Raw genomic sequence first — 15,858 nt, forward strand, 5'->3', positions numbered from 1 at the left:
CTGCCTTCAAGCATCTGTTTAACAAAGCACATCTTGCACCGCCCTTAATCCATTTAACCCTGAGTGGACACAGCACATGTTTCAGAGAGCACAGGGTTGGGGGTAAGGTCACAGATCAACAGGATACCAAGGCAGAAGAATTTTTCTTAGTACAGAACAAAATGAAAAGTCTCCCATGTATACTTCTTTCTACACAGACACGGCAACCATCCGATTTCTCAATCTTTTCCCCACCTTTCCCCCCTTTCCATTCCACAAAACCGCCATTGTCATCATGGCCCGTTCTCAATGAGCTGCTGGGTACACCTCCCAGATGGGGTGGCAGCCGGGCAGAGGGGCTCCTCACTTCCCAGTAGGGGCGGCCGGGCAGAGGCGCCCCTCACCTCCCGGACGGGGCGGCTGGCCGGGCGGGGAGCTGACCCCCCCACCTCCCTCCTGGACGGGGCGGCTGGCCGGGCGGGGGGCTGACCCCCCCACCTCCCTCCCGGACGGGGCGGCTGGCCGGGCGGGGGGCTGACCCCCCCACCTCCCTCCCGGACGGGGCGGCTGGCCGGGCGGGGGGCTGACCCCCCCACCTCCCTCCCGGACGGGGCGGCTGGCCGGGCGGGGGGCTGACCCCCCCACCTCCCTCCCGGACGGGGCGGCTGACCGGGCGGGGGGCTGACCCCCCACCTCCCTCCTGGACGGGGCGGCTGGCCGGGCAGAGGGGCTCCTCACTTCCCAGTAGGGGCGGCCGGGCAGAGGCGCCCCTCACCTCCCGGACGGGGCAGCTGGCCGGGCGGGGGCTGACCCCCCCACCTCCCTCCCGGACGGGGCGGCTGGCCGGACGGGGGGCTGAACCCCCAACTCACTCCCGGACGGGGCGGCTGGCCGGGCGGGGGGCTGACCCCCCCACATCCCTCCCGGACAGGGCGGCTGGCCAGGCGGGGGGCTGACCCCCCCACCTCCCTCCCGGACGGGGTGGCTGCCGGGCGGAGAGGCTCCTCACTTCCCAGACGGGGTGGCTGCCGGGCGGAGGGGCTCCTCACTTCTCAGACGGGGCGGCTGCCGGGCGGAGGGGCTCCTCACTTCTCAGACGGGGCGGTTGCCAGGCAGAGGGTCTCCTCACTTCTCAGACGGGGCGGCCGGGCAGAGACGCTCCTCACCTCCCAGACGGGGTCGCGGCCGGGCAGAGGCACTCCTCACATCCCAGACGGGGCGGCGGGGCAGAGGCGGTCCCCACATCTCAGACGATGGGCGGCCGGGCAGAGACGCTCCTCACTTCCTAGATGTGATGGCAGCCGGGAAGAGGCGCTCCTCACTTCCTAGATGGGATGGCGGCCGGGCAGAGAAGCTCCTCACTTTCCAGACTGGGCAGCCGGGCAGAGGGGCTCCTCACATCCCAGACGATGGGCGGCCAGGCAGAGACGCTCCTCACTTCCCAGACGGGGTGGCGGCCGGGCAGAGGCTGCAATCTCGGCACTTTGGGAGGCCAAGGCAGGCGGCTGGGAGGTGGAGGTTGTAGCGAGCCGAGATCACGCCACTGCACTCCAGCCTGGGCACCATTGAGCACTGAGTGAACGAGACTCCGCCTGCAATCCCGGCACCTCGGGAGGCCGAGGCTGGAGGATCACTCGTGGTTAGGAGCTGGAGACCGGCCCGGCCAACACAGCGAAACCCCGTCTCCACCAAAAAAATACGAAAACCAGTCAGGCGTGGCGGCGCGTGCCTGCAATCGCAGGCACTCGGCAGGCTGAGGCAGGAGAATCAGGCAGGGAGGTTGCAGTGAGCCGAGATGGCAGCAGTACAGTCCAGCTTCGGCTTGGCACCAGAGGCAGACCGTAGGAGAGGGAGACCGTGGGGAGACGGAGAGAGAGAGGGAGAGGGAGAACAGGTAGTTTTTTTAACCCTTGCTCCTCTCTCTCCCTCCCCTCTTTTGGAGTTCCCAGTGTTTACTGTTCCCATCTTTATGTCTGTGTGTACTTGATGTTTAGCTCCCACTTATAAGTGAGAACTTGTGGTATTTGGCTGTTTCTGCATTAATTTAAGATAATGGCTTCCATCTGCATCCATGTTGCTGCAAGGGAAATGATTTTGTTCTTTTTTATGGCTGTGTAGCATTCCATGGCATATATATATACACACCATATTTTCTTTATCCAATTCACCATTAGTGGGCACCTAGGCAGATTCCATCTCTTTGCTATTGTGAATAATGCTGTGATAAACACATGAAGGCAGGTGAAAAGACCTAATTCTTAAATGATTTTTCTCATACTAAATTTTAAGTGTTTAAATTTTGGTAGATATTTACAATATACAATGTCAAAAATGAAACTTTAGTGTTAAAAAAAGGCTTTCCAACTACATCTTCAAATTTTAAAAGATGTGATTTTTTGGAAAATACTACTTCCTAAGTAGAGGATTATGTAAGAAATGCTGATGGGAACTACTCTTGAACAACTAGAGTTGCTGGAGTCAGTCACAATTCTACTCGTTATATCACAGGTTAATGCCAGAAAGACTACTGAGTCAATATAGCAGTCAACCTGGGAGGGGAAATATTATTTTTATTGCAATTTTAAAAGGATAAAAGATGTACTTAGATGGCAATCAATATTAATCCTTGGTTTCAACTGCATCTATAAACAGTACAGAAGAGCTCTACAAACCAACACTGTAACTTACTATTTAAATAAATTTCACAGAATCATAAAATATTAACCTTGGATAGGATAGTAAAGATTAGTAATTTTTGAATTAAAAAACAAGCAAGTTTCTCTTTTAAAGACATCTTAAGAGGGCAAGTTTTTTGGGAGGTTTAAAAAACCTCCCAATAAAATGTTCCTATATGTGCAGTGAATGGTCAAAAAAAGGATTAGAAAGAAAGGATTCTCAAGAGATCAGGAGGCCACTGCTGAGAATGTAGGGATGCTCCTTTATACTCTCTGACCCTCAAAATATATATTTATGATTCTCAAGAACAATCAGCTAACCCTCTATTTTAGTTACTTTATCTATAATTACACTTAATTCAAAAAATTAAGAAAAATTCTTAAATAATCCAAATTCTTCTATCACCCAACCTTCTTCTCTACGATAAAAGGAAGAGGGATAGGGAAGGAATCATCAAAGAACTTGAGTAATTTGTGTTTGTCTAAAGGTAAGGCTTGTTTTTAAAGAAACTGAAAACTTAAATCAGTTTGGCCTCCTTTCTCAGACAAGGACAAAAACTTGGAATCCCTTCTTAAGCCCTCAGTGAAAGTCAGCAGGCTCTAAGCCCTTGGCAGCTGACATTTTGAGAACAATCTGTTACCTTCTACACAGTCATCATTCTAAGTGAGGAGGGCAGCGTGGATGCTTAGAAGGGAAAGGCAGAAGACTCAGGGAGTGTGTGCAGTGAGAAAGAGAAGGCACCCTTGGTCTCACTGAAAAGTAGCCCCTGGTTTATCTTCAGGTGACCTTTACATGGTAAAGAGCCTTGTAAAGGATAACATTATGTGACCAAGAATACAATTTTCTGTTTTTCCTTGAGATGGTTGCTGCTTGTCGTGTTTTTCACTTTTGACATGTACAGCAACTTTGCATTCAAGTTCTTCATCCTTCCATACAGGCCTATGAATCTAAGTACAAGATTACCTATATTGCAGTGCACCAAATCTTCCTGGACTTGATGTGCCTGGATTCCGCGTGTATGAAAATGAACACCCACATTTTTTTATTATACGTTTTTAAAGTTTTGCTGTAGACTACTTGTACAAAACGTCAAATTTCTCCTCTACCCTCTTAAAGTCTCTAGCTGAGGCTGACGTAAAACAGGTTAACAGGGAAAAGCATACAAACATGATTCAGTACTTTTTACATGTACATGGGAGCCCTCACAAGAAAAATGAAGACCGAAAGAAGCAGTTAGAGCTTACTTAACATCTATATAGTAGGTTGGACAAAGAGTAAATTTAGAAAACATGACAAGACAAAGAAGTTGGGTGACTGCAGTTAATTGTGGAAAAGTGACTGGGAAGTTAAGGGTTGGTTTAACAAGGTTTGTTTGTACAGATTTCTCTCAGCCTTTATTACCCATCTTTGGTTATAAGAATGTCTTCCTTGTTCCTGGTACAGGGAGGGCAACTTTCTTTTTTTTTTTTTTTGAGACGGAGTCTCGCTCTGTCGCCCAGGCTGGAGTGCAGTGGCGGGATCTCGGCTCACTGCAAGCTCCGCCTCCCGGGTTCACGCCATTCTCCTGCCTTAGCCTCCTGAGTAGCTGGGACTACAGGCACACACCACCATGCCCAGCTAATTTTTATATTTTTAGTAGAGATGGGGTTTCACCATGTTAGCCAGGATGGTCTCAATCTCTTGACCTTGTGATCCACCCACCTTGGTCTCCCAAAGTGCTGGGACTACAGGCATGAGCCACCATGCCCAGCCTTTTCAATGCCTTTTACCCAAAATAATCAATATACCAAAGTGGCATATTTGGGGGTGGCATATTTTGATCCCTACACTATGAAAAGCTATAATATATTCATGATAAATAGTATTCTGTTTTTCATGGGATATAAATTGGAATCATCCTTTGGGAAACAACTGGGAAAAATGAAAGAACTGTTCATTATCTCAGTAACTCATGTTAAAGGAATTTACTGTAACAAATAATTAATCATAAGCTATGTACAGCATACACATACACACACACAAATGTCTACTACCACACTATAACAACAAAAAATGTAAACAACCTGATGCCCCAAAGCAGAAAAATATTTACTAAATTATGACAAGGCAATCCCATAGTATACTATATCCACTAAAAATGAGGGCTGTCTAGAAATATGTAGAGATATGAGGTGGGAAGGGAGAGTTGGACCTGAAGTTGACTCAGAGAGCTATTGCAATAGCCAAGCGATAAGTATGATACAGGCCTGAACAACAGGGGTGGCAGTGAGTAAGTCAGATATGGTGAAGATGAAGAAATACTAAGAGAATAATATCAAAGGCTATTACAACCAGAGATGTGGGGTGGGAGTCAGATGTAGCCAAAAGACTGAGGTGTCTAGACTTGGTGACTTGCCATAAGAGAAGTCAGGAGCAATAGCTCATTCTTTTGGGAAGATGAGTAGCTTGATTTTGAACACAGGCATCATAACAATACCATACATTTAACTGTTTAATGCTTCACTGTTTACAATGCACTTTTACAGACATTAAAAGTGCTCATGTGATCTTATAAGAAGCCTGTAAAACAGGCAGAGACGGTAATTCATTTCCATTAATTGAAGGAAGAAATGGAAGCTTAGATGTCAGAGGACTGGAACCAGATTTATCAGGTCCCCTCAGTCCAAGTCCAGTGCTCTTTCCACTGCACAATCCTATTTCTAGAGAATTGACTGTGTGATTTAACTAGGGCTAAAAACTCAGAAGAAAAAATATAACCTGAAAGGATACACAGGAAAGCTCAAGATCAATTCATAGATAATCATTCACATGTGCTCCAGGGAGAGAGGAATGTTTTGAGGAGTGCATGAGTGTATGTGCACGTGCACTCATGGCAGGGAGTGCTAGTTGCCTGTGACAAAGACTCTTTGCTTGGCCAAACTTTAGTCAGGCTTTAATTCTTCTGCTAGGTCCATCTATGCACTTCCTTGTAAAACCCAGTTTTAGGAAAGAACCTTGCTAAGTCAGTTTAGCAAGAATTGCCCCCATCCCTGATATCTGATCAGGTTCTTCACCCCCAGCCAACCTCCAGGTGGTATCTGATCACCTTGGCCTGCCTTCAGCAAGAATCCTGTTAGGTTGGTTTTTCCAGATTTCCCCTTACCCCTGATGTTTCCTCTTAGTAATTTCTTATCCACTGACTCTGCTCCTTGGCTGTAAATTCTCACTTGCCCATGCTGTCTTTGGAGTTGGGCCCAATCTCTCTCCCCAGCTGTGGGACCCCGTTACAGTAGTCCTTACATCTATGGTGATGGTCCTGAATAGTCTTCCTTACCATGCCTTAACAAGTGTCACTGAATAATTTTTTATTTAACTTCTACTTACCCAATACTCATTCTCTTCTTCCTTACTAAAGAACTTTGGGCAACAGGACTGACTGAAAAATTTTATTTCCCAGACTTCTTTGCAGACAGGAGTAGCCAAATATAGATAGATAGATAGATAGATAGATAGGGAATATATATCTATAATTTCCATGTGTGTGCGTGTGTGTGTGTGTGTGCACGCGCGCACATATGGAAGTTGCGAGTCAGCCTTTTTGCCCTCATCCTTTTCTATATACTGCCTGAAAAGCAGACATGATGATTAGCCCTCTTGAGAGACAAATGAAAGGTCCAGGAAATCGCAAACCTTAACCAAAAGAATGCAAATATGTTCATCTTTGTGCTACTGAACCAACTACTACCTCCTGAATCCTTTTAGATTAAAAAAAAAAACAAAATTCCTTCTAGTCTAGACTGTTATTAATTCATAGCTGGTATAACACCTTGCTTTCTGAGGCCATCATTTTCAAGGATAACCATATTCTCCCTCTACACTGTTCTGTGGCTTGGGCTGGATGAATCATGGCTGGTCTGACACACTGTAGCATTCTTTCAGTTCCAAGCTTGTAAAATATTCAACCTTTGAACATTTTGCTTCTGGAACTTTAAAGGGCAGAGAAAAACAGAAGCATGAGTTACTTTGGGGTAGCGATTTATTTATTCTACTTACCTTACATTAGAGCCAATAGATCACATGGCTTTGATTATTCCCAAAATGGTTCATACTTGGGTAGATATAACTGGGTAGCCTTCTATAAATATGGACACAGGCGACAGTAACACATGAGTAGTATTTTGACAAAAAAGCTATAAAGAAGTAAATATTTCTTCTCTAGCATAAAGTTAAATTTAAAAAATGTAATTATCTGATCTAAAAATCCCACACATCCCAGAGATTATTTAATAGGAGACCTCCAACACTAAAATTTGCTGAGAGAGTGCCTGGCCTAGTGACTGGTATATATTAAATGCCAAAACATTTGCTAAATGAATGAGAGCACTATGAAGTGTGTGCAAAGCAGAGTAGCAGGATGTTCACCATAACAGGAAATTAGCATATTTACAGAATTTCAGGCCCATCGTGAAATAAAACAATCAGCTGGTTGTGAGATAAAACTAATTTAGCTTCTGATAATTTAATCAACAATAAACTGGGCCATTAAATTAATGAATTTAAATGTTACAATTTCCTTTAAAGAAGAATGCAATGCTACCCTGTATTAGTTAAACAGCCTATGGATGCACCCAGTTATTCCATGCTAATAATATTTTGCAAAGAGCTATAAAAATTCTGAAGCAACCTCAACAGTCTTCAAAGGATAAGGGTATTTAGGTCTAAACTTGCAGCAGGTAGTAATTTTTAACTAGATGATTTAGAAACTACTGAAAAAAAACAGATTAGTGATCTGGGTGTTACCCAATAGTTTTTTCTCTCTCCAAATGTAGGATGTTCTCCAGTCAATTTATTACAGCCTGAGTTGCAACTAATTCTTTGGAGATAGTGAAACATCATCAAAAATAAATTGCGTCCTTCTCAGTAATTTTTTAAAATTAATGTAAAGTACAAGATAATTTGAAACCTAATTTCTCTGAGAACGCCAACTATCTGGTGTCTGTCAATTAACACCTGGCCTGGATTTGTATCTGAGATTTAGACTTTAAGACAAGAATAAGGAACATTTACCATGTGTCCAGGACACTCCGAATATTAACAGAATATAACAAAAATCTTGAAATTGAAATTAACTTGTCTCTCATCAGATATAATTTTAATGAAAAAATTAAAGATTTTTAAAAACCTTTAGAAGTTGACATAAGAGTAAGTCACACATTACACTACAGAGAATCACTATAATGATACAGCATGAATTTAAAACTGGGTCCTGGCACAGTGAGATCATTTATTTCTGAATGTATACATCTAAGTGTATATATGGTGTTTCATCAAACAACTATTGTATATACATATAAGAAAGTTTAAAACCTCTGGAATGGTAGATATTAGGGCAAAAAATAATGACCATTTGGGTCATGTTAGAAAAACCTGATGGAATCGTGCAAGTACTATCTGACAAAATTACTGGATTAGTACTGAAGACTGAATGGTAAAACTTACACCAAAAAGAATTTTTCATTTTGTAACCACTATTTTAAAATGTCAACACAAACTAAGAAAATTCTCCTGAAAGGTAACATAATACTTAAGTACAATGACGGCTAACCATAAACCCTTTGAATTTCAAGGTCTAGAAGGTGATGTCTATCACTGAAAAAAACCCACAAACATTAGTGCTGCGGCTGTTATGACCTAGCCTTATCAATACCAATGCTTGGTGTGGCAGTAAACACACAGGAAGTTCAGGCTGGGCACCTGAGACAGTTACATCCTGGACACTTACCAAAGGTTCATGAGCCTTTTAGCTTCTTTCCATCCTCCTACACTTATAAACCCTTGTTCAGTTAACCCAGAAAACTTATCTTTACCTCAAAAAATGGCTCATAAATTCAAAAGTAATACTAGTCTCAAACCAAAGCAAGAAAAAGGAAATCTGTCTATATTTTAAGTGAAGTTAACACTAGAAGGAATGATGTCTCAAATACTAAAGGTTTTTGCAACGTACCTCCAAAATTTCTACCCAAATGTTTCCATTGAACCCCAGCCTCCCCAAGTGAATTTTCGATAATTTAAAATAAATGATTATTTTATCTTACTTTTCCTCAAAAGTATTCTACAGTAAGGTCTTGAAAAGACATCTGCACACCCATGTTCACAGCAGCACTATTACAATAGCTAAGTGGTGGAAGCAACTCAAAGGTCTGTTGACGAATGGATAAGCAAAATGCTTACACGTGCAATGGAACGTTATTCCGCCTTAAAAAGGAAGGAAATTCTATCATATACTACAACATGGATGAACCTTGAAGACAGTATGCTAACTGAAATAAGCCAGTCACAAGAAGATAAACACTATATGATTCCACTTATATGGAGTATCTAAAGTGGTTAAATTTCTAGAAACTGAAAATAAAATGGCAGTTACCAGGGACTGGGGGAAGAGGAGAAAGGGAAGTTATTGTTTAACGGATACAGAGTTCCAGATTTGCAATATGAAAAAGCTCTAGAGATCACCTTCACAATGTTGTGTACCTACCTAACACTACTAACACTGAAAAATGGTTAACATGGTAAATTTTATGTTATATGTTTTTACCACAATAAAACAAATGGTATTGTTTTTCTGATACTCATCAATACCAAGCATTCAGTGAAATTAAAAATTTTATCTACATTATGAATTACATATGGATTCTAACATGGGAATTTTTTACTTTTTGAGATAACACAGACTTTTGCTTTTCTTTAAACTCCTCCACCCTTTGCCCCTTTTAAAAATGAGAACAAAAATGACATGGTGAGTACGGGTCTCCAACTGAAAAAGATAAATCCAGTTATGTAGGAATGTTAGTTCTAAGTGAAAATCAATTCCATACAACTCTAGATGAGATATTTCCTCAGAAAGCACTGGAAGAAGAGTTACTAACACATTCTCCTCTTTATCAAGGAATAATCTTGGCTATAACTAAAAACTAAAAAACAGCCCAATAGAGAGAAATATAATAACCTCAGTTTGAAAGATAGAATCACACTCAAATAACTGCAATTTTTAATTTCACTGAATGCTTCAATCTATGTATGATTCTGAGAGTAACATTTCACATTCAGAATTTAAATTAATTCTTAATTAACAATAAGTAGTTTCATGTTTGTTTTTAATTATTTCTAAGCTGTTATTTCAAACAAACAATATCACATTCTTGAAGGCAGACCTCTTACTTTTATCTCCCTAGAGGTTAGTCCAGTGCCTAGCATAAAATGATGCTAAACAAATGTTTCTTTCAAATAACTGTATAAGAATACCTGATTTTTAGCAATGTATAAAACTTTATTGAAACTAAGCACTTGTTTTCTCCACTTCTGTAGAATGAGCTATCAAGCATAACCAAGGTGATTAGTTCCACGATTTTATGCTCACCTCTACCAGTTACCCTTTCCTGCTCCCAAGCACTGACTCACTCCTATCACTCCTAATCACCCGCAACCCTATGGCAATCATGCCAAAGCTTCTTTTTTTTTTTTTTTTGAGACAGGGTCTGGCCCTGTTGCTCAGGCTGGAGTGCCATAGCACGATCTCAACTCACTACAACCTCCGCTTCACAGGTTCAAACGATTCTTGTGCCTCAGCCTCCCAAGCAGCTGGAACTACAAGCGTGTGCCACCATGCCCAGTTTATTTTCGTATTTTCCGTAGAGACAGGGTTTCACTATGTTGCCCAGGCTGGTCTCAAATTCCTGAGCTCAAGCGATCTGCCTGCCTCGCCTCCCAAAGTGCTGGGATTACAGGCATGCACCAGCATGCCTGGATGCTTCTTCACTCTCAAATCTCCAGTACCTTTCTCTACTTCCTTACTTTTGTGGTACCTTGCTCTATTTTTCTGCAAAGACTGAAACCCATGATTTCCCTCTTCGTCACTTCAGCATTTCTGTTTTCACCCTGCTCTTCTCTGGATTCAATGGATACAAGTCTTCCCCTTTTTCACCCAGGTTCTCTGTCATTATTTCTACTTTAGTAGAATTGGTATCCTCACCTGGCTCATCTTCAAGAAATTATCCTAGGAAGCACAAACCAACCCAATTTCTATTAGTTCCTTCTCCTCTCAGCCTCCAAAGTACTTAATGTGTATCATATTGAGTATCATATCCCAGCTAATTACATCTGACCTTTAGGATATGTCTTATACTACTGTTCTTTTTATCTATGTCTTTATTGCCAAAAATGATATTTATAATTATTTTGGGGCAAAGATTGTCTTTTGCTTTACCACATGAAAAAGGTCTGTTTACCATGTGCCATTCAAATATTTTTTGATAATGGAATAAGTTTGCTCAAAAATGAACTTTTCAGCTGGGCACAGTGGCTTATGCCTGAAATCCCAGTGCTCTGGGAGGCTGAGGTGGGAGCATCACTTGAGGCCAGGAGTTCGAGACCAGCCTACGGAACATTGTGAGACCCTGTATCTACAAAAATAAAAAATAAACCAAAAATTTTAAAAATGAACTTTTCTATGACTCCCATTGTATTCATCATTGTACTGAACATACTGACCCTTTCACTTGACTTTATTTAATGTATTTATTTTTCTCATTCTCTTACATAACATCTCTAATTTCTTTTCTTTCAGTTTCAACATCAGTTACTAAGGCTGGCACTTTCTATTAATAATAAAAATGGTCACGATTCTTGAATATCCAATTCCTGCCAGATACTATGCTAGATAATCTACACATATTAACTCTAATCTTCACAATAATCATGCATTTTACAGAGGAGGAAACTGAGGCTCAAAGGGATTAAGTACCTTGTCCTCCAGTCTTTCTCCCTCCAATCGGTCTTCTACCCTTCAGCCAAAGTGATCTTCCTACAACCAAATCTAATCATGTTATTTCCCTCACCTAAAGCTCTTTAAGGCTTCCTACTGTCTTAATGTCTAGATTCCTTAACTAGGCCTAAGGTAACCTTCAGGATACCTCTTTTCTTACCACTCCTGACACCAACTTCTTTCAGTTCTTGGACCATGCCATGCTTTCTCCTTTTGCCTCTGGACTTGGCATGGAGTGCCCTTATTCATCCACTCAACAAACATGTGGCATGTGCCAACTATGTGCCTGGCATTGTACTAGCAGCTGGGCACATGGTAGAGAATGAAACAGACATAGGTCCTGCCCTCAAGGTACTTATGATCTAATGGAAAAAACAAATAATAAATAATTACAGATTGTAGTAAGTAAAATGACAGAAGCAGGATGCTGTATTCCAGAACATCTAGGGTTGGGGGGTGCAAGAGAAATCACAGTGACTGTTTTAAATAGTTTGATCTGGTAAGGTCTCAGGTGGTGACATACTTTAAAAGCTAAAGATTAAGCCAGCTATGTGAAAAGCCAAAGGGGAGGTGAGTGACAAGAGATCCTGCTAAAGACATCAGCAGAGCCCAGACCAAGGATTATTACAGGCCACGGTTAAGAATCTGGGTTTTATTCTAACTTCTAAGGGCAATGTAATTCGCTGAAGAATTTTACATAAGGAAGAGTCACTTTTTGCTGCAGAGTGGAGAAGGGATTAGAGGGGCACAGAATAGAAAACAGAGACACAAGTCAGTCAGGAAGATACAGTAGTAGTTGAGGTGAGAAAATGTGGATGATTTGAAGTACGGTCTGATAGTGAAAGGAAAAAAGTAGACAGATTAGATGCAGAATTGACCTGACTTGCAAAGTCATTACCTGAAATTAAGAAAGAGGCAGAGAGAGGTTATAGAGTTTGGGAATTTGTCATTGGAGAACGTTAGCAGGCTCACTAGAGAAACAGAGGATCAGAGGGATCTCAAGCCCATACTGACTGAATATTCAAGAGTTTGGCCATTTTCACTTTATACGGTCATCAGTTTGTGCAGGACTTTTTCCAGCAAAGTTCAGGCCCACGGGTGCAGGTACAAAGAGGGCAAAAGGTTGACTTCATCCAGAGTAAGAGTTTTGTCAGAAAAAAGTGCAGGAAGGGACAAGAGAATTTTTCAAAGGAACGACATACATTCTGGATAAGGGGGTGCAGTGGATAGAAAATGGAAAGATCAATGCAATGGAGGTATAGATGAAGGTCAAGAATTGTCTCCCTGGTAGAAAGTGGTCAGATAGTAGGAGGCTATAATTTGTTTCTTCTGCTTGGAATGGGCATCTCCCCCTTCAGCAAACTGTTTGACCCCTAAATACATCCATCCTTTTCTGCTCCCTGACTTCCTGAACCCCAGCACCACTCCCTGAGTTTGTCACCATCTCATCCAATCAGAAAGGCCCACCTCAGCGGATCACAAGGTCAAGAGAGCGAGACCATCCTGGCCAACATGGTGAAACCCCGTCTCTACTAAAAATACAAAAATTAGCTGGGCGTGGTGGCACGCTTGTAGTCCCAGCTGCTTGGGACGCTGAGGCAGAAGAATTGCTTGAACCTGGGAGGTGGAGGTTGCAGTGAGCCAAAATCGCGCCACTGCACTCCAGCCTGGTGACAGAGCGAGACTCCGTCTCAAAAAAAGAAAAAAAAAAAAAGAGAGAAAAGAAAAAGAAAGGCCGACCTCAAACTATTCGCTCCTTGAAGCATTTATGTTCTCCCCACTGAGATCCCTCCTCCTAACAACCCTCACAGAGTGTACTACTGGTAGAATAGTTCAGGTGACCACATAGTAAGTCATTCTTTTTCCTTTCTAGGCTCCTTTGGAAAAGGTATTGTTATAAATATTCAAAAGTCTCTGGATCCTGCGACAGTATTCAGAACACAGCCCTGCACGGTGCAATCATTCAATAAATAATAACAGGGATCTCAGGCTCATGGGCCTCCAAACCTCATCCCCACTTGCTAAACCAGGGTTCACTGAAATAGAATAAAAGCGCATAATCCCTGTTCACAAAAGTCTCAGATAACTTCCATTAATCTCAAAGGTTGCCTTCAATTTCACAAATTTAATTTTAATCCCCTCTAAACGTTCAAAACACCTCTATTTAGCTAATGATGGGCAAATATAAAACAAAACAAAACAAAAATAACACCCCATGCGTGAAACAGCACTCGTAGGCTACCCTACGACGATCAAAAATCTGGATGCCACAATTCGAGAAATGCCACGCTCACTAGAAAATATAGATTTTTCTTCATAGTCTAATGCAAGGCCAGAGAGACCTGGGTTGGGGCTAAGGCAAACGGCCCCACGAGGGGTGCCACGAGAGTCAACTGGCATTGGGTTTGTACTCAGGGTCGGACCTCAGCCTGGCACCTACCTTCCTCCCCTCCAGCCCCAGCCGCAACGATCACAGGAGTGGTCGCCTCGGAGCCTGCTGCCATGGCTACCGCAAGGCGGGTTCTGCCGGAACCCAAGGCGGAGCGGAGCTGGGGTGGGGTCAGAGTAGGGGCCAAACTCCGAGACCCGAAGCTGCACCACAGGAAGGAGCCCCGGCGACTCCCGCCCGGCTCCTACGGAAACGCCGGCTCTCACGTGGAGGTCACGTGACGGATGCTGGGCGGGACCACGCAGCTTTGTTTTGATACCCCGGGTGTGGAAATACAAACACGTGGTCTGAGTTGTGGCGCTTTTTACCTAACCCGGACCTTAGCGTTCTTTATTGTAGTCTTAGCTTCGTTTCTGTTTCTCCTTTTCTAGTCAGATCCTTCCTTTCCACCTCGGCTTTTCTCCACCCTAAAGGATTGGAGTTTTAGGGGAAGGTTTGCCGCTTAGTGGGGCTCCGGCGGTGGGATGGGTCTCTGCCGTGAGCTTTCGCGAGCCGCTCTTGGCAGCCTGGAATGCGAGGCTAGCTCACGCTTCTCTTACACCTCTCTTGCCCTTCTGGTGGTAACCTGACTCCTTCTGATTTTAGTGGCTGCCGGGAAATACGAACCTCGGGCAAAGAATCCTGTGATTGCGTTCCCTGTGACTCATTTCCCGATCCAGACAAGCCAAATTGCTTGACTTTAGGTTTTCAAGGACACTAATCCACAGCTGTCAGGCTTCTGAATTTGTATACCAAAATAAACAAACAGCTGTGTGAAGAGATCAACAACCACCTTTCTTCTCGTTTACCCTGTGGTCAAATCATAATCACTGGAGATGGATCTTTGGGGCAAAAATCTTCCAACTTTACTGGACATACCTTTATTGCTCGCCTATTGGCAGGCGAAATGGGTAAAGTTTACATATATATGAATGAAATTGGCTAGTTTGGAATCTCCTCTTTGGATATGTAAGACAAAAAAGTAACAAAAATAGGTAGTACTTATTGCACGTAAGAAATGATTTTTATGAGATAATCCCCTGGGACCAACTACGCTTAAACTTTATCCTTCGCCTATAATTTCTGAAGTTACTAACTCAACAAAAATGAGAATAAGCCCAAAATAGAAGCAAGCATCAGGTTAACTGACGTCACTTAACAGGTCACTGAGTTGTTTATTAGGCACAAGATTTAACTTGGACACTTCCTCCAAACACCCCAGGGTTCCTTGCCCAACCTCCTCGAATACAGCCTCTCTGGGAGTTTCCCTCTCCCCGACTCAGCCGCGCTGGTCCCTGCCTTTTCAGCGCTACCTGCCCTCCGTCTGGGACCTGGCTCCTTTCCTCTCGCCGGTGTTTCCTCGCCACCCGCGGAGGGGAGGGCGGACCCCAGCCTCCTTGCCGCCTGCCCCGCCTCCCCGCCTCCCCGCCGGCCCGGCTCGGGCCGCGCAGGCGCACCAGGCGCGGTCCGGAGGCCGAGGGCGACCACAGCAGCCTCCGCCTCCTGCTGCTCAGGACTATTCTGCGCTGGGCTAGTCGGCGGTGACCCGGACTGCGCCCGGCAGTGGCTTCGCGGGCGACGCGTCGCCATGGGCTCTCGCTGGAGCAGCGAAGAGGAGAGGCAGCCGCTGCTGGGGCCCGGGCTCGGGCCTGGGCTGGGGGCCTCCTGGAGAAGCCGGGAGGCGGCGGCGGCGGCGCTGCCCGCGGCGGTCCCGGGTCCCGGGCGGGTATACGGGCGCCGCTGGCTGGTGCTGCTGCTCTTCTCGCTGCTGGCGTTCGTTCAGGGCCTGGTCTGGAACACCTGGGGTCCCATCCAGAACTCGGCGCGCCAGGCCTACGGCTTCTCCAGCTGGGACATCGCGCTGCTCGTGCTGTGGGGGCCCATCGGCTTCCTGCCCTGCTTCGCGTTCATGTGGCTCCTGGACAAGAGAGGTGAGGGGTCGCGGAGCGCCAGCCCGCGCTGTCTCTCCTCCGGG

At 44.3% G+C, this 15,858-nt stretch overlaps 2 protein-coding genes across 8 annotated transcripts in view, besides 1 other annotated feature; one reads left to right on the forward strand and one right to left on the reverse strand.

The window, feature by feature from the left end:
* Positions 1–14,110, reverse strand: part of HSPBAP1 (HSPB1 associated protein 1) — a 53,833-nt gene extending 39,723 nt beyond the window's left edge. For 6 of the 7 annotated variants that reach the window (XM_047448919.1, XM_017007179.2, NM_001320728.2 and 3 more), the window contains exon 1: positions 13,896–14,110. In XM_047448919.1, coding sequence (XP_047304875.1) covers positions 13,896–13,959 — 64 coding nt within the window. In that variant the 5' untranslated portion in view covers positions 13,960–14,110. Of the gene's footprint in view, positions 1–6,687 lie in introns of all 7 variants that reach the window. The other variant, XM_047448918.1, reaches the window with a different exon arrangement.
* Positions 15,185–15,674: a silencer, noted in NCBI's record as "silent region_14645". NCBI's record gives its function as "represses an Ori minimal core promoter by ATAC-STARR-seq in GM12878 lymphoblastoid cells {active_cell/tissue: GM12878}" and the evidence as "EXISTENCE:reporter gene assay evidence [ECO:0000049][PMID:35858748]".
* Positions 15,348–15,858, forward strand: part of SLC49A4 (solute carrier family 49 member 4) — an 86,071-nt gene continuing 85,560 nt past the window's right edge. The window contains exon 1 of the mRNA NM_032839.3: positions 15,348–15,814. Coding sequence (NP_116228.1) covers positions 15,472–15,814 — 343 coding nt within the window. The 5' untranslated portion in view covers positions 15,348–15,471. The remainder of the gene's footprint in view (positions 15,815–15,858) is intronic.

The sequence above is a fragment of the Homo sapiens genome, chromosome 3 (genome assembly GCF_000001405.40).
Source record: "Homo sapiens chromosome 3, GRCh38.p14 Primary Assembly".
Lineage (NCBI taxonomy): Eukaryota > Metazoa > Chordata > Mammalia > Primates > Hominidae > Homo > Homo sapiens.